Below are 17,427 nucleotides of genomic sequence, written 5' to 3' on the forward strand. Positions count from 1 at the left end.
TAGTGAGACATTGATGGACAGATGGTTGAGATCTGGGGAGAAGACACTGGAAGGCCAGATGGCCAGTGACGAAGGAGGAGAGAATGGGATTGTTATCAGGATAACACTGACCACCCCTAAAATTGCACTGTGCCTCCACTGCCCGAATAATTACACCCATTCTCCTTAATGGATTCTGCCGGAGGGGACCTGCCTTTGAAGGCTCACATTTAATTGTTATTATCATTATTACTATAATTAGTATAATGTAATGGATTCTGGACTTCATGCATTGCCTCTATATAACAGCAAAGTTCCTAGCAGCCAGCTGGTGTAGAGGACAGAAATTCCACTTTTTCTTCAGAAGCCACTGAGAATGTAAAGACACCACTGAAATCCTCAGACTCACTAGGCCTGGCTTTAATAAGCATTTCCCCCTGTTTCTTTTTTTGCTCCCTCTACAGAAACAGCTTCTCAGTGAAAATTGTCATGACAACCTGGAGAGAGGAAACGTTCTACTGCAAGCCGAGCGTGGGGACCGAGGGTCGGCGTCACAGTGAGAGAGCCATGATGGAGGACGGGGTCACCCTGCTTGCCCAACGCGGGGAGCTCCGTCATACAGAACCCCAGTGAGTTCTGGAGGTCACGCTCTGTTTCATAAATGAAAAGCTGGGGCAGGGGCCTTGCCACACGGACACTCCTCGGGCCTCACAAGCTCCTGTGGGTGACCAGGCTGCTCCCCACCGCCGGCGTGGGCTGTTGCTACCCTGCACATCCCTCGGGTGGGCAGCGGTGCTTGAAACGCCAGCTCCCGCCCTTCCTGCCTAGTGGCTTGACGGCTTCATTGTGCTAACCACCCAGGCAAGCTTGCGTGACTAACGGAGGAGCGTCTCCCCTTAGATTCTTCCCGCCCGGAGCCGGGGACAGCAGGTTGTTTATCACGGAAGGGCTGGGAAGAGCTTTTCAGAAAGGCCTTGGGGACTCTCTGTGTGGCATGGAACAGAGAGTGCCTGCCCACCCCAGGCAGCCAGATGCAGCCCCTGCCTGCTTCCCCCTCCCTGGCTATGTGCGTTCCAGAAAACCACCTGACCTCCAGATTCTCTCTCGTCCAGTGGAGATTCTCCTGCCCGAAGGCAGGCGCTCTCCAAGGTCCCTCTCCCCAGAAGAGCCACGATCCCAGGAAGCCGGCTTGTGCAGAGGAAAGAACCGCACCTCGTTGTCAGAACAACCCCAGCTCTGCCACCTACACCTTGTGTGACCTTGGGCAAGTCAGAGAAACTTCTCAGATGCACAATCTCGTCACGCTCCTAGTTTCCAAGCCCACACACCTGAGGGTCAATGTCCCTTATTGCACCCCCACCCCATACCGACTCCATCAGCAAGTCCTGTTTGTTCTTGCCCCAAGTATCTCTCCTGTCTGCCCATTCCCTGCATCTCCCCCGTCACCACCCCGGGCCAGTCCCCGTTACCCGCACCTGGAGGTCTGCACCAGCCCCACCTGCACTCCGGCGTCCACTCTCGCCCCCATTGCTGTGATCTCCACACAACCACGAGCGGCCTTGAGAGCGCAGCGAGGCCGTGAGGCTGCGCAGAGCCCCTCAGTCAGCAGGACCGCGCTCACGGTTCAGTGGGCCGTCTGCTAGAGGCTTTCCGCAGTTCATTCCTTCTCCCCACACAACTCTGAAGGTAAGATGTCTATTATCACACCGTCCCACTTTACAGTGAGGAAACGGAGGTCCAGGGAGGTGAAGGCTCTGGCCCAATCACAGACTAGTGAGGGATAGAGCCCGGATTTGGACCTAGGCAGTCGGACCCCAAGTCCATACCCTGGGCCTCACGCTGGATTGTTCCAGATCCCACACCAGCTCCCGCAGGTCCTCGCCAGTGTCAGCCCTCACCAGGCTCCCCCCGCCCATTGTGCTCCACTCACCCCGCCTCCCCCTGCAGGCAGGGCACATGAGCACCTCCAGACCTTTGGCATCTCCCCTCCCCTCGCCACCTGGCTGAATTGTCCCCTTCAGCCCTCTGAGCCTCCCTCCTCCTCAAGGACACCCCGGCCTCCTGATCTAGAGGATGGAGCACAGGGAGAAAGCACAGGTGTGTTTCTCCCTGGCTGCTGCTGGTCTCCCCAGTTGGTCTATATGACCCAGGAAGTCATGTCCAGGTCTGTGTCCTCTGCCGTCGTGTATGCTGGCAAAGCGTGATACCAGCACACAGGAGGGGAAGTCAGTATCCTCGTGATGGGCAGAACGGATGAGCATCGATGCAGAGGTGCTGGGAGGCCAGCCCGTGGCCCAAATGAGAGCTTGGTGATCTACCTCTGCCCCATGGAGGGGGCACCTGCCAGTCAATCTGGAGAGGGGCGTGTGCTGGCAAAAGAGGGTGCCCCTGAGCTAAAGCCCTGGTAGGAGGGTGGAGGAGAGGGAAAGGACTCAAGAAGGACTTCTGAGTGGGCGATACACTGGAAGTGGGGAGTGAGGAGACTGAAGCATCCAAGGTGGTGCCCGGGTGGCAGGCTGGTGTGCTGGGATGGAAATGAAGAGAAGACACGGGGCTGCCCTCAGAAGGGGTGGTGGCTGGGAAGAGGAAAAGCAGTCAGCCCTAAGTACTTAAAGTATCTGGCAATTTATAGCAAGTGTCATTAAAGGGGAAAAAGTTGTGGGGAGAAGAATGTTTTTGGAATTTGTGACCTCCACACGGGCTGAGGCATTTCTCCTTGAGGTGCCTGCTCTGGCCACCTGAGCAGGCCCTGACTCACAGAAGATGGAGGAGACACCGAAATGCTCTCTCTTCTTCCTAAAATGCATAGGTATTTTACCCAGATTGATTCATTACTCCCAAAGTTAAATTAGGGGCATTTTGTTGACAGTCACCGGTGAGTTCTGAGGAGGGCTCTGGAAGGGGAAATAAGAACTAGAAGAGGCTCTGTCGGTGACCCCTGCCCCAACCCCACTCTGGGAAGGGGTTCAGGGAAGGGAAGAGCGAAGGAGGCTGAGGACCAGGCGGGTCCTGGCCAAGAGGAAGCCGCCTCTTGCCTTGGACCTAGGCATCAGACCGGCAGGCATTGTGCTGTGGGGCCAGCTATTTCAGAGGAAGAGAACTTCCTGACCTTAACCCTGCCCTGCTATTAAAACACCGTCATAACTAGCTGGCCCATACCTGCCTCTGGAGCCTGGCTGTCACTACTTTCTGTCTGGGGTAGAGGACAATCTGGCGTGTCTTCTAGGCTCAGCATCAACACACATCATCCAGTGTATATTTTAGTACCGTCTTTACAGGCCTGACTCAGGGCAGGGGAAGTCGTCGGGAAAAACCACGCTCATGGCTCTGCCATTGTCTCTGTGTGTGGAGACATCAGCTACCCTCACTGGGCCTGAGATATTCATCTCTCCAATAAGCTTAGATCAGAAAGGCCATCTTGCAGCTTTTTAAAAAAAGAGTTGGACTCTTTTTTTAAATTAAAAAAAAGTTAAACATTTTAAACAATAAAATCTTATGTGTAACATCAATGTAAAAAGCAGATCAGGGTGAAACATACTGCTTATCCGGGGCTGGGCAGGGCCGAGCCCTCCTGTCCCCTTTCCCCCGCCCCACCCCGCATTGCTCCAAAGAACTTCCAGGGCCCAAGGAGCCCAATTCAAAACCCTCTGAATGAGGTGCTTGCTAAGAACATCCTGCAGCTCCCAGTGACTTCCCAAGAGAGCTTTCTCGGGGCTCCAGGTTTCTGCTTGGACTCCCTGAGGGCGTGCCTGGGAAACCCACTGCAGGGCCCCCAGTCCATGGTCCCAGAGGTGTGAAGGCATCTGCTTCACCTTCCATGCCGGCCTCCCAGGAGATGAGGAGGAATTCAGTCCCACGTTCGGGCAACCGTTGCTCAGCATTAGCAGCCGTCAGCAAGTTGACACTGGAGCTCCAGCCAAGTGGTATGACATGCCGCCCCTGCAGATGTGGTGCTCTGTACCTCTTAGACCCAGGAGCTGTCTGCATGTGACGTCCGATAAATGAGTGTTTCCTTTAACAAGTCTTAAGCCAGGCCCTGAAGCTAAGTCGCAGAGTGAGTATCTTCCTTGAGCCCGTCACCCCACAACATTCACAAATAAGAGCCCCTGCGGAGAAGCAGGCTATGTAGTCAGATAGACATAAGTCAGACCCCCCAGCCTGTGTTCTCACCTGTGAAATGAGAAAGATCACAACAGCGACACCCGAGCTGTTGTTTGGAGAAGATGAGAGAGTGTGCACAGCTCACACCATCCTCTGCACCGCAGCTAACACTGTTAGCACCATCACATGGGCCCCTCTGCAAAGAACTGCCCACCTCATGAGAAATCATATGCTGAACCAGACCCCCGGGCCAGTTCCCAAACTGGGTCTCACACCTATCTCTCTGTTTTGAATACCAGATATTCTAAATACAACATCATTGATATAATCTGAGATACTAGATGATGTTATCCGCCTGCCTGCAGAGGATTTACTTTTGCTTTTGGCAGGCATTTAGGCCAGGGGCAGATTGTCTTAAGCCAGACTGGATGAGCTGATTCAAAGCTGGTTTCGGTCTTTGTGAAGATGGGTCTATTTCTGGTTCAGCGTTTTGCCTGGGGATATCCCGTCCGCTGCCCCACCTGAAAGTCTGGAGTGCTTGCCTGGCCGCCTCCTGCACAGCAGGGCCTGAACACTGAGGTGTGTTTCCCCAGCCCTGTGAGACTGCCCAAAGTTCTACTCAGCTTCTCAGCCCCTCCACCGACACTCTGAATTGGCAAATGCTTCAGCAGGGAAAGTGGACCTGAATGTCCGGCACCCTCTCTGTGATCCCCTTCTCCTCTTGATTTTGGTTCCTCAAGTCCTCACTGCCCTGGGAGCACTCTGATACCCTCAGCAGAGTTTCGAAAATATTTTATGCAGTTTTCTAGTTGTTCTCAAGGGGAGGGTTAGTTGGAGAAGAACACTGTAGCCAACCATCTTGGAAGTGACTGTTCCTATTTTACTTTAATGCTCATTTAGGTATTTTAAAAATTATTCTGTTTTCCTGAAACAGAAAAAAAATTCAGAAAATTTTTTTCTGAAACAGAAAAAAATATTCTGTTTTCTTCATTTGGGCTGGCATAACAAAAATACCATAAATGAGGCAGCTTATAAACAACAAACATTTGTTTCCCACAGTTCCAGAGGCTGGGAAGTCCAAGATCAAGCCACTAGCAGTGTCTGGTGAGGGCCTCTTCCTCATAGATGACACCTTCCATGTGTCCTCACATGGTGGTATGCACTGGCTAGCTCTCTGCAGTCTCTTTTCTAAGGGTACTAGTCCCATTCATGAGGGCTCTGTCCTCATGACCTGATCACCTCTCAAAAGGCCCCATCTGCTGATACCATCACCTGGGGGGTTAGGATTTTGCATATGAATTGGGGTAGAGGCACAAACATTCAGACCTTAGTGCTATGCTTCATTGATTTAAGGATGGTCTCATTGGGATGTTGGGGGTAGAAAAGATCCATGTCTTCCATGCTAGTCTAGGAGTGCATTCTTCAGGAGGCAGAATGGCAGAATGGGAGGAGGGTCTCCAGTCATGGATGCTGGTGGCCCATTGTTATAAACCACAGGGCAGGGTCAATGAGGGCACATTGCCTGGTGGTTTCCTCCAGCTGAGTTCAGAAGGCATTTTTCCTCAGCAAGACCACAAACTAGTTTGATCAATAACTTTTCCTCCAAGTAGTACAGTTTGGAAATGAGGTAAGAGAGCCATCTCCTGGTAAGAAATATGGCAGTGTGTGAGGGAGGCCTGCAGCGACTCCGGCACTGTGTGGAGCCCTGTGGGTCCCTGGGAAGTCTGGGGTTTGGGAAGGTGCCCAGAGTGAGTGGATTCCTGGCCCTGTGTTCACCCGATCTTCAACAAGTGCAGCTCCCGTTTTATCTGTTTTATATACTGGGTTCCTAAGAAAAGTTTTCCACCATTGGGGAATTTCAGAAGTTGCTCCACCATCAGATAAATTGGAAAACCACCCCATCGAGCTCAACTGCTTCATTTTATAAACCAAAGTCCCCGGAGGTAAAATGACTTCCCCAAGGTCATGCAAATGATTCATGGTGAAAACAGGACAAAACGGTCTGACCTCCATCCAGCGCTCTTCCTACCACCCCACACTGTCTTTTGGAGATGCAGTTTCCTAGAAGATCTTTATTTTAGAACAACACTTCTTTTAAAGAGCACTGCTCTGTGCTTTTGTGTAGAGCTGCATGGACTTTTCTCACAAACGTCCCCAGAGGACATGGAACAAACAGGGCTGTTGATATTTTCCTGCTGGGAGGTCAAAGGCCCACCAGAGGAGCTCAGTGCCCTGCCAGGGGCCTGTCCTGGCTCTCCTGCTCACCCTGTGACGTTGACTCATCCTGCCACCTCGAGGGTCTCTGTTTCTTCCTTTGTAACATGAGAAAAGCAGAAAGCCTAAGATCTTCACATTCTGTGGGAAGCACTTCAGTCAGGGGAATCCCCCCATGTGGCTGGAGTCACCCTGACACCACCGCATAATGATTCATCCTTCTCTTGGGAAGCCAATGAGATCAACAAGCCAAGACTATGGGCTCTTCACAAGGGAGGAGTGATGTCTCTGCATCAAGGGAGAAGAAATACTATACCAGCAAATCCGTGCTTGAAGATTCCCCCATTCCTCTTTAGGAATCATTTATATTGCTGGCCACAGTGGCTCACGCTTGTAATCCCAGCACTTTGGGAGGCTGAGGCGGGCAGATCACCTGAGGTCAGGAGTTCGAGACCAGCCTGGCCAACATGATGAAACCCCGTCTCTACTGAAAATACAAAAATTAGCCAGGCGTGGTAGCAGGCACCTGTAATCCCCGCTACTTTGGAGGCTGAGGCAGGAGAATTGCTTGAACCTGGGAGGTGGAGGTTGCAGTGAGCCAAGATCATGCCACTGCACTCCAGTCTGGGCAACAGAGCGAGACTCCGTCTCAAAAGAAAAGGAATCATTTATATTTGCTCTTTTGACAATGTCTCTATCAGTGAATTGGAGAGAAACTCATCCCTGTGGCTGATTAAGATAAAATAAAGTTATGATGAGATGTTACTAGGGACCTACAATTCTTCCCTGGGGAAAAGGTCACACACACACACACACACACACACACACACACACATACACACACTCTCTCTCTCTTTTGCTAGAACGGGCTGGAACTGTTCTTGCAAAGACTGGGCTGAGATGCATGAGTAAATCTGACGTGTCCACCCTCATCTCTACAGGATCAGCCCCAGCTCTGGGGCCCAGGACTGCTTGGCTCATCGAAGAATCCCGCCATGCAGGTATGACCTGGATAGTACTTGACATTGCATTGTAGTGGGGAAAAATAAAAAGGAACATGAAACCTATTGGCTGGTCTTTTATGTCCTCTAATTCCCATCTCGTTGGAGTAAAATGAACAAAATTACCATCTGGTACAGGAAAGTGAAGTTGCCCATGTCTGTCAGACCCTAAAACACACCTGACAGGGTTTACTGACTGGGAGCTAGATGAGAAGAGAACATCAATTGAGAAGAGAACAAAACTATAGCTCCCAATACAGAGATAGGTTGAAAGAACTACAAATAAACTCCTCAGATTTGGCAAGGAGTTGTATGTCAATCTAGGATTAATGCGCAATGGCCGTGCAATAAAGGCCACCAGCCATCATCCCCAACCCCATGCCCATCAGCACTGAAGGCCACACAGTCACCTGAGTTCAAAGGCTGTGGAAAGAGCATGAGCTTTGGGGCCAGGCCTGACTTCAAATCCTGGCTCTTTCACTAACAACCATGTAACTCAGGCTCTCTGACCCTCAGGTTTTTTTTTTTTTTTTTTGAGACGGAGTCTCCCCTGCAACCTCCGCCTCCCAGATTCAAGCAGTTCTCCCGGGTTCATGCCATTCTCCTGTCTCAGCCTCCCGAGTAGCTGAGACTACAGGCGCATGCCACCACACCCGGCTAATTTTTGTATTTTTAGTAGAGACAGAGTTTCGCTATATTGGTCAGGCTGGTCTCGAACTCCTGGCCTCAGGCGATCCACCTGCCTCAGCCTCCCAAAGTGCTGGGATTACAGGTGTGAGCCACCACACCCGACCAGCTTTCTTATCTGTAAAATGGGGATAGCAATGCCTTCCTCATTGACATCCATGAGGCTGGGCACAGTGGCTCACACCTGTAACCCCAGCACTTTGGGAGGCAGAGGTGGGTGGATCACCTGAGGTTGGGAGTTCGAGACCAGCCTGGCCAACATGGCAAAACCCCATCTCTACTAAAAATACAAAAATTAGCCAGGCGTGGTGGCAGGTACCTGTAATCCCAGCTACTCAGGAGGCTAAGGCACAGAGAATCACTTGAACCCAGGAGGCGGAGGTTGCAGTGAGCCAAGATCGCGCCATTGCACTCCAGACTAGATGACAGAGCGAGACTCTGTCTCAAAAAAAAAAAGTAAATGAAGTAAGGACATTTCAAAAGCATCGAGTGTTCAGAATGTGGGCAGCCTGTCATTTGTCACCATTAGAGATAGCACCTTCCACCTGTCCCATCACTGAACCTACAATGGGGCTCTGCACACACAAAGGTACTACCTTGTTGAAATTTCTGTTGCATTTTGAAGTTGAATGGGGCTCAAAGAGCAGAGAGACTACTTTTCCATGGCTTAGAAAGACCAGAGGACAGGATACACATAGGATGACACGACGCCTGAACCCACTTCGGTGAAGAGGAGTGCAATTTTGTACAGTATTAAAACTCCATCTGGGTGTGGTGGCTCACACCTATAATCCCAGCACTTTGGGAGGCTGAGGCAAGTCGGATCTGCTGAGGTCAGCAGTTCGAGACTAGCCCTGGCCAACATGGCAAAACCCTGTCTCTACTAAAAATATAAAAAATTAGCCAGGCATGGTAGTGTGTGCCTGTAATCCCGGCTACCTGGGAGGCTAAGGCAGGAGAATCACTTGAACCTGGGAGGTAGAGGTTGCAGTGAGCTGAGATCATGCCATTGCACTCCAGCCTGGACAGCAGAGCAAGACTCTGTCAAAAAAACAAACAGACAAAAATCTTCTCCTTTTGGTTTGTTTGCCAACAGACTTTGGCTTCTTGGGCAAAACCCTCATCAGTAACTTTGCTCAAGAAGCTGAAGTCTGTTGGCAAATAAACCAAAAGGAGGAGTTTTGGGAAGAAATAAAACACTGTGGCCAGCCATCAATGAGCAAAGTTTACTGAGATCATGTTCAAAAGCACCGACAACTCTAAACATCTCAATTAAACTTGAAGGAAGGGCCGGCACAAGGAGAGACACATTTCTCTTAAAACAGCTCACTGCTCCTCCATTCTAATTAAGCAACAAATAGAATCAGTTCTTATGTGCATTGGTGGTCTTTACAATGTAGCCCGAGGTAAGGACTGCGGAGAGTGTAATTATCCATAATTAGTCTCCCACTGTTGCCAGGACTTAAACCTGACAAACCCCAACAGGCCTAGAAGTGTGCCGCAAGAGACGGCCGTTTATGTGACGTGATCTGAGAAAGCCCCTGGTGAGTCTGTTTTGCATTGCTATAAAGGAATATTGAGGCTGGGTAATTTAGAAAGAAAAGACGTTTATTTGGCTCATGGTTCTGCAGGCTGTGTACATGCATGGCACTGGCATCTGCTCAGCTTCTGGTGAGGCCTCAGGAAGCTTACAATCATGATGGAAGGTGAAGACGGAGCAGGCATGTCACATGGTAACAGGGGGACAAGAGAGAGACGTGGGGCGGTGCCAGGCTCCTTTCAACAACCAGCTGTCAGGTGAACTAACAGAACAAGAACTCACTCATTACCGAGGACGGCATCAAGCCTTTCATGAGGAATCCACCCCATGACCCAAACACCTCCCACCAGGCCCCACCTCCAACATTGGGGATCACATTTTAACATGAGATTTTGAGGGGAAAAACATCCAAACTATATCAGCCGCACAGGCTAGCCTGCCCTCAAATATCTTCTGTCACAGTTGTGTTATGCGTAGCCCTAAGAAACCTGCGTCGAATGTACCTAGGTTGCCAGAGAGGGATGTGGGCCCACGATCACTAATCACAACCTTCGTACTGCCAGTCCACCTTAATCAGAAAGGAACGCTACCAGGAAAACAGGGCAAAGACACTTTCTGATAGAGGTAGAAGAGTCAAGGAAAGATGCTAAAAAATGGGCCATTTTCTGGAATCCCCAGGCCTAGCAGGAGATGCTAGATGAAGCCCTGGTCTTTCCGAGTCCGATGGACCTGGGTTCCAATTCTGGCTCCACCACACACCTACCAGCTCTGTGATATAGAGAAAAATACTAGAGATACTAGATACTAGAAGAGATACTAGAACAGTGCCTGGCACATAACAGATGCTCATTAACTATGAGTGTGTCTCCCTGTGGGCAGGAACTATGGGAGCTTCCTCTTTCTTGTAACCTCTTCAGTGTGGAAACTTCTCTAAGATCCTTCCAGCCTTGCCTTTGCTCTTCTTTCAATGTCAGGTCTGGCAACACCTCAGGGCCAATTCCAGCAACTCCAGGCTAAGGTTGAGGCTGGAGGCCACTTTGCTCAAGAAGCTGAAGTCTGTTGGCAAATAAACCAAAAGGAGGAGTTTTTGGAAGAACTAAAACACTGTGGCCAGCCATCAATGAGCAAAGTTCAGCTCAGGCACATGTCAGGACGTTTACATGTTTTCCTTCCTGAGGAGTTTCCAGAAGGGCAACTAGGAAGGCTATTAACGCAAAAGTCTTTTTTAAAAATTGTATTAGAATTCTATTTACCTTTATGCTTAATTGCAAGACTTGAATTTATAAGATCTGAAGCAATTATGAGTTGTGAGTTTTCTATTTGACCACGTGTCGATGTGGAAAGTTCTAATATCAGCAAACTTTAAGAAATCCCTGCTGTTCCTAAGCACCATACTTGGCACTAGGAAAACAGACAGATTTTAGATTAATCTATATCCTCGTGGAGTTTACGGCCTCTGTGGGGAAATGGAAATTATGCATGAGAAGAATGAACAGGGTTTCACAGAGGAAAGCTTGGGAGGCAAACGGAAAGTGCAGGCTGCAAGCCTAACAGGAGATTGACATGTGCCCTGGAGGGCTTAGAACTGGAGGAAATCCGATTGCTGAGGCAAACCGTAAATCAGTCAGGATGCAGAGAGTCTGCTTAGAGAGAGAGAATGGCTCCAAGGCCCGGAGACGTCACCGTAATCTGATTGAAGGTATTTATATCTAACGAAAGAATGTGTCAATCTGAAGAGCAGGTGGATTCCCAGAGCCTAGAAAAAACAAGAATCAGTGAGATGGAAGTGGTGACCATGAAGGCAGTGGTCCCACGGCAGGGCGCTTGCATCCCAGGGACAACCAAGAGGATCCTGCAGGTCACGGGACAAAACAGAACTTCTATTTATATCTTGCTTATCCCTTAAAATGTCTCTGTGACTTGTCCAGTGTAACTATGTAAGTCTATGACCAAGTCAAGCACGTTGTCAAAATCTATCCCTAATCATTCAACCTAGAACCTTAGTAAGCAGGTGCTCCCAATATCTGCCAAATGAGTTTAAGACATTTTTGACCAACTCCCCCTCTTCTAGAGAGGGTATCTGCTAGGAGTCTGAAAGAAATTAAGATTTAATGGAAATTCCTCATTGCCACCATGTCTTTCTTTCACCTGAGCCTCTTGGCTGGAGTTAACCTGTCATGCTACTATAGCTCAAATTTTATAACTCTTTGGTTGTTGTATAATCAAAAACTTTCAAGTGGTACAAAATGCTTGCTCTAAATCAGGGCTACAGGTTTGAAAAATAAACCATTTAAAAGGAGTTCTAAGCCTTACCATCCTACACAAACCTGTTACTCTTAGTGTAATTGGTTGCATGAGTCTGTGCAGCATCTCTTTAGGAGTTGACATGCACTGTGTTAAACTCTTTGGCAAAAATGAAGCATGAAGTATTTTGGTTCAAATTGTGATTGGTATGCAAAATGCACAAACTTGGAAAATAAGAGCTTCTTGCTGTGAGGTGCAGTTGATCTCATGAGGGGCAGCAGATGCCATTGTGAAGAGCACTCACTGCTGAGCTTGTGTGTGGCCTTCGGCAAGATATTCAAGTTCTCTGGCTTCAGTTGCCTCATTAATAAAATCGGATTAAAAACAAGTTTCCTCACCTGGTTGCTGTGAAGATTGAAGGAAGTACTATCTATAAGCATTGTGTTTGCTACATAGGTAAAGCTCAGGAATAATTTTTTAAAAATGTAAAGTTGCATGACATATGCATAAACATTTCATCTGTTTCACAAATATCCTGTGACAAAGTGATGGCTTGCAAAATAATGAAAGGAGACAATAGCAGATGGTTTTTCACTGATATGAAAATAGTGGGGTTTTTTTTCCATCACAGAATTATGAGTTGGTCAGAGGAAAGAATGGTGAAGATTTCAGTAAAGAGTAACCCAAATGTCTGAATAAAATCTGCAAAAACAATTTTCTTCCCGAGGACTGGAAGTGGCATGGACAGTTGGGCAATAAAAGAACAGCAGTGATTTTCTGCTCCATTTCTACAACAACAACAAAAACACGATGGTGGAAAACAATGCCAAGTGGAAATCTTCATTCCTTGGGGATAGAAAAACACATCCTCTTCTTTAAGAACTATAACCACAGATTGCAGCAACAAGATGCGCAGAGAAAAGCTTGGTTGGGTTGAGCCAACCGTATGCGGCAAATGATTAAAAAGATGGTGTCCCTCTGGGAGAGCAGAGGGCCAGTCACCAGGAGGAGCAAGAGGAACAAAGAGCTCTCATTCACATCCGCAATGCTGACGGGACGTGCGTTTTCCTCAGCAAACTGGCAAGCTCCCTGGAAAGGGAAGATTAATACGAGCAGGGAATACGAACTCTCTCCAGCAAACCGTGCCCATTGTCAGCCTGGGGAGAGTGCTGAGGAATGAATGGATGGTCATTGATCCTGGACTAGGAGGACTTGAATGAATTCCTTCCCCTGATTCCCAACTCCCCCTACCTTGATTTAACTCACACGCAGCAATTCTCATTTATCCAATGTCCCTGGGCAAGAGCTAGTCCATGTGAATTCATTTTACCAAAAACTGAGCTGATCTGTTTGAATTTCAGATGTACGCTTAATTAAGGTTTCACTTTCTTTGGTAGAAATCTTTTAAAAATTAACGTCAGAGCTCTTTGCCCTCTGGAAGTACAGGGAACTTTACTGAGATGGCCCAAGAGGGAGCACCGAGTGCAGAGTGCACACCTGGGTGCTCAGCCTCACCCCGCGCTGTTGCTTTGCTCATTTATTTCTATTTATGAATCAAGGTTGTTAATGTGAATGTCATTAATGCAATAATACCTCTATAGAGGCAGACAGGGTGGGAGACAAGGCTGAGGAGGGACAGAGGGCTGTGCTTCTCCAGTATTCTCGTCCATGCTGTCCAACCCTCACACCCTGAACCAGGAGGCTGGTATTGGTCATTTCTGGGTCCTCTCGTCCCGCCTACTCCTGCTCATCCAGACTCATGGCTTTCAATGCCATCTATATGTTCATGCCTTCCCTCAACGACAGACTTGTTTATACATCTGCCTACTAGGAAGCTCCGTGAGGATGTTGAATCAGTAACTCAAGCGAAACAGCCCCAGACTCAGCCTTGCTCCAATTCCCCAGACCTCTTCCTCCCACTCTGCCGCATCTCAGCAAGGACAACTCCATCCTTCCAGTTGCTCAAGCCCAACAACTTGAAGTCATCCTTGACAGTTTTCTTTCCACACTCCCTACCTCCAGGCCCTCAGTAAATCCTGTAAGCTCCACCTGCAAAATACAGTCTACAGAGGCTGACTGCTTCTCACCTTGCTGCTGCTCCCACTTCTGGCCACACTGCTACTGCTCTTTCCTGGATTACTGCACAGCTTCCTGCCTGGCCTTTCAGCTTCTGGCCTTGTCTCCCTGTTCTCAACACAAAAATCAGTCATCCTTCTAATCACGTTGCTCTGCAAAGTCAAACTCCTGTCAGTGGCCTGCAAGGTCCGAGGGATCTGAATCCTCATTCCTTCTCTGTCCTCATCTCCTCAGACTCTTCCCCTGCGCTCAATCAGCTTCATTCACCACCCAAGCTCCTTGCTGTTCCCACTCAGGGCCTTTGCGCCCACTTGCTGCTTCCTCTGCCCGCAATACTGTTCACCTGAATATACATGTGACTCCTCCCCCGACTTCAGGTCCTTACTCAAACATCGCTCTCAAGTGAGGCCTTACCTGGCTACTTTATTTAAACATTGACATGGTTTGTCTGTGTCCCCACCCAAATCTCGTCTTGAATTCCCACGTGCTGTGGGAAGGACCCAGTGGGATGTAATTGAATCCTGGGGGTCAGGTCTTTCTTGTGCTGTTCTCGTGATAGTGAATATGCCTCATGAGACCTGATGGTTTTATAAGAAGGAGTTACCCTGCCCAAGCTCTCTCTTTGCCTGCCACCATCCACATAAGATGCGACTTGCTCCTCCTTGCCTTCCATCATGATTGTGAGGCCTCCCCAGCCATGTGAAACTGTAAGTCCATTAAACCTCTTTCTTTTGTAATTTGCCTAGTCTCGGGTATGTTTTTATCAACAGTGTGAAAACGGACTAATACAAACATCCACCCACACCCACCCAATGCCCTCTTTCTCTCCTTATTGTATTTTAACATGTGTCACTACCCTACATAAGATAACGCACACATATATATCTTTTTCATTGTCTGCCTTTGCCAATGAGAATGTAAGCACCATGAGAACAGGGAGTTTTTTTCTTTTTTTTTTTTTTTTTTTTTTTTTGAGATGCAGTCTCACTCTATTGCCCAGCCTGGAGTGTAGTGGCACTATCTCAGCTCTCTGCAACCTCTGTCTCCTGGGTTCAAGTGATTCTCCTGCCTTAGCCTCCCTAGTAGCTGGGGTTACAGGCATGCACCACCAGCCTGGCTAATTTTTGTATTTTTAGTAGAGATGGGGTTTCACCATGTTGGCCAGGCTGGTCTCAAACTCCTGACCTCAAATAATCCCCCTGTCTTGGCCTCCTAAAGTGCTGGAATTATAGGCGTAAGCCACCATGCCTGGCCAGTTTTTTTCTATATTGTTCACTATTATTTCCCCAGCCCCCAGAATAGTACCTGCACATAACATGTCATCAATAAATGTTTGTCAAATGAATAATTTTTTTACTATAGTCATTAAGCCTGCATCTAGAAATGCAGGGTAGTGATTATAAACATGGATTTTAAAGTCACACAAATATAGATTCCAAAACCTGCTCTAACCCCATTTTAGCTGTGTGACCTTGGGCAAGGTATTAATACTTTTATCATTGTTAAAATAGGTACGATGATGTACAAAAGAGGAAGCAAAGCACTGAACACAGAACCTGGCAAGCTGTAATCATCTGGCACATCTGAACTGTCTGGGTGGTGTCTCCGCTGCTACCGCCTCAGTGCAGGTTTCCATCATCTGTTGCCTGTTGACCATGAAACTCCCAACTCAATCCTCTCACTCCAGCCTTCCTCAAACCCCAGTGTCTTCCACATACTAGGACCAGAGTGATCCTCTGAACATAAAACTGATTGATAACAGATCATCCAAATGGACTAATAATTGACCAATTAATAATTGACAATCAAAAAATTCTCTCCTCAAAAAAAAAGGCAAGAAAACTGGCAAAAAATGTCAAAATCAACTTTTCTAGAACTCTGAAAGTTAACCACCAAAGGCTTGGAATAATCCGGGAAGCTTTTATTTAATTAAAATGGCTGAGTCTTGGTATGAACAGCAAACTTTGTGGTGTTTCAACTTGCCCTATTCCTATCTCCCTATCTCCCACGTGGTGGTTCCCTAGAAAACTAACAATCACAGTAAAAGACAGCAGCCTGGTAGCTATCAGAGAGAGAGAAATGGAGTCGGGGGTCCTTTAAAGCCTCATTCCCATGGAATCGTCATTAGTTAGCCTCTCTAGTAGTCCCCTGGAAGACTGCACTTATAAGGTCATCTTTATTAGACCTGACTTAGAGCTCACCTAGTGCAAAAGGCTTTTCTCCAGGGGTGTTTGTAAAAAAATAAAAATAAAAAAATTAGAGACTGTTGTTTAACTTTCTGGCTGGGTGCTTTGTGGCTGCCTAAGGCTGTGGATCACAGTTGGGCAGACAATAAGCTGATCAAAAACCATAAAAGTAAAATCTGGGGAATGAGCTCTCCATGGGGTCTTAGACAAGCTTCACCCACTTTCTGGGCATCTAGAAGGTCATGGGCATGTGTAGGACTCTGCATGTGTCCAGGGCTGTGCACATGCTCAGAAAAGACCTAAGAAGGCCCCAAGAGCTCACTTCTGGCTGATCTTGGGGCTCTGTAAAACCAGAAAGTGAAAGCTAAGGCACAGTTTCAACTGCCTGGCTGAGTGTTGAAGGAGTGTCCAACGTGCACACACAGCAGCTTTCCAAGGACTGGGAGATTTACTGGTCACTGGCGTTCAAGGAAACCTCTGTCCATTCATTAACTGACCACTGAGCTGATTGAGCAGAGAGCTCAGTGGCTAAACATGATAAAGAATATAGACTTTACAGAAGATATTTAGAAATATCCCTGAGTAAAATAATAGCAACAAACAGCAACAACAACAGGCCCAGGGGATGGAGCAGAATCTGACTTCCAGAGAGCCTATCAGGGAACTTCTGGGCCTCTAAAGTCGTGTGAGCCAATTCCCATAATAAACTTAAAAATGCTTTGAGATGAATGAAAATGAAAACACAACATAGCAACAATGAAGGATGCACTAAAGCAGTGCTTATAGGGAATTTCGTAGCTGTAAACATGTATTTTTAAGAAAAAAGGAAAAGTCTCATATTAATAATCTAACATTCCATCCTCAGAAATTAGAAAAACAAACTAAACCCAAAAATAAGCATCAGGAAGAAAATAATAAAGATTAGAAAGAAAATAAATAAAATGGAGAATTTTTAAAATAGAGAAAAATCGATAAAACCAAATGATCTCCAAAATCACAAAACATTTAACTAAACTGACCAAGAAAAAAAGAGAGAAGACTCAAATTACTAAAATCAGGTACGGAGAAAGGGCATTACTTGCAAAACTAGAGTTTGAAGGAAATACTACAAGCAGTTATATGCCAACAAATTAGATAACCTAGATGAAATGGACACATTTATAGAAACGCACAAACTGCTGAAACTCAGAAAGAGAAAAATCTGAATATACCTATAACAAGAAAGATGTTGAATTAGTCATCAAAAAATGTCCCACGAAATAAAAGCCCATGACCAGATGGCTTCACTGATGAATTCTACCAAACATTTAATGAAGAATTAACATCAATCTTTCACAGATTCTTCCAAAAAATAGAAGAGGAGGGAACACTTCCCAGAAGCTGTCTCAGAGGCTGCCTG

The 17,427-nt window shown here is 47.4% G+C and overlaps 1 long non-coding RNA gene across 4 annotated transcripts, besides 3 other annotated features; it reads left to right on the plus strand.

Annotated features, from left to right (window-relative positions):
• Positions 27–1,226: an enhancer, noted in NCBI's record as "BRD4-independent group 4 enhancer chr13:30727396-30728595 (GRCh37/hg19 assembly coordinates)". NCBI's record gives its function as "activates an origin of replication core promoter dependent on BRD2, P300/CBP, MED14 and CDK7 cofactors, and independent of BRD4, by STARR-seq in HCT116 cells {active_cell/tissue: HCT116}" and the evidence as "EXISTENCE:reporter gene assay evidence [ECO:0000049][PMID:35650434]".
• LINC00385 (long intergenic non-protein coding RNA 385) lies at positions 530–15,799 on the plus strand. 4 transcript variants are annotated; one of them, NR_187532.1, is made up of 3 exons: positions 530–1,665; positions 7,158–7,295; positions 15,354–15,799. It is a non-coding gene; the product is annotated as a long intergenic non-protein coding RNA 385 (long non-coding RNA). The 4 variants fall into 4 exon arrangements; NR_187535.1 differs by lacking the exon at positions 15,354–15,799 and having other exon boundaries at positions 530–909; positions 1,057–1,665; positions 7,236–7,360; NR_187533.1 differs by lacking the exon at positions 7,158–7,295.
• Positions 6,164–6,573: an enhancer, noted in NCBI's record as "active region_7531". NCBI's record gives its function as "activates an Ori minimal core promoter by ATAC-STARR-seq in GM12878 lymphoblastoid cells {active_cell/tissue: GM12878}" and the evidence as "EXISTENCE:reporter gene assay evidence [ECO:0000049][PMID:35858748]".
• Positions 16,121–16,390: an enhancer, noted in NCBI's record as "active region_7532". NCBI's record gives its function as "activates an Ori minimal core promoter by ATAC-STARR-seq in GM12878 lymphoblastoid cells {active_cell/tissue: GM12878}" and the evidence as "EXISTENCE:reporter gene assay evidence [ECO:0000049][PMID:35858748]".

Source organism: Homo sapiens, chromosome 13, assembly GCF_000001405.40.
Source record: "Homo sapiens chromosome 13, GRCh38.p14 Primary Assembly".
Lineage (NCBI taxonomy): Eukaryota > Metazoa > Chordata > Mammalia > Primates > Hominidae > Homo > Homo sapiens.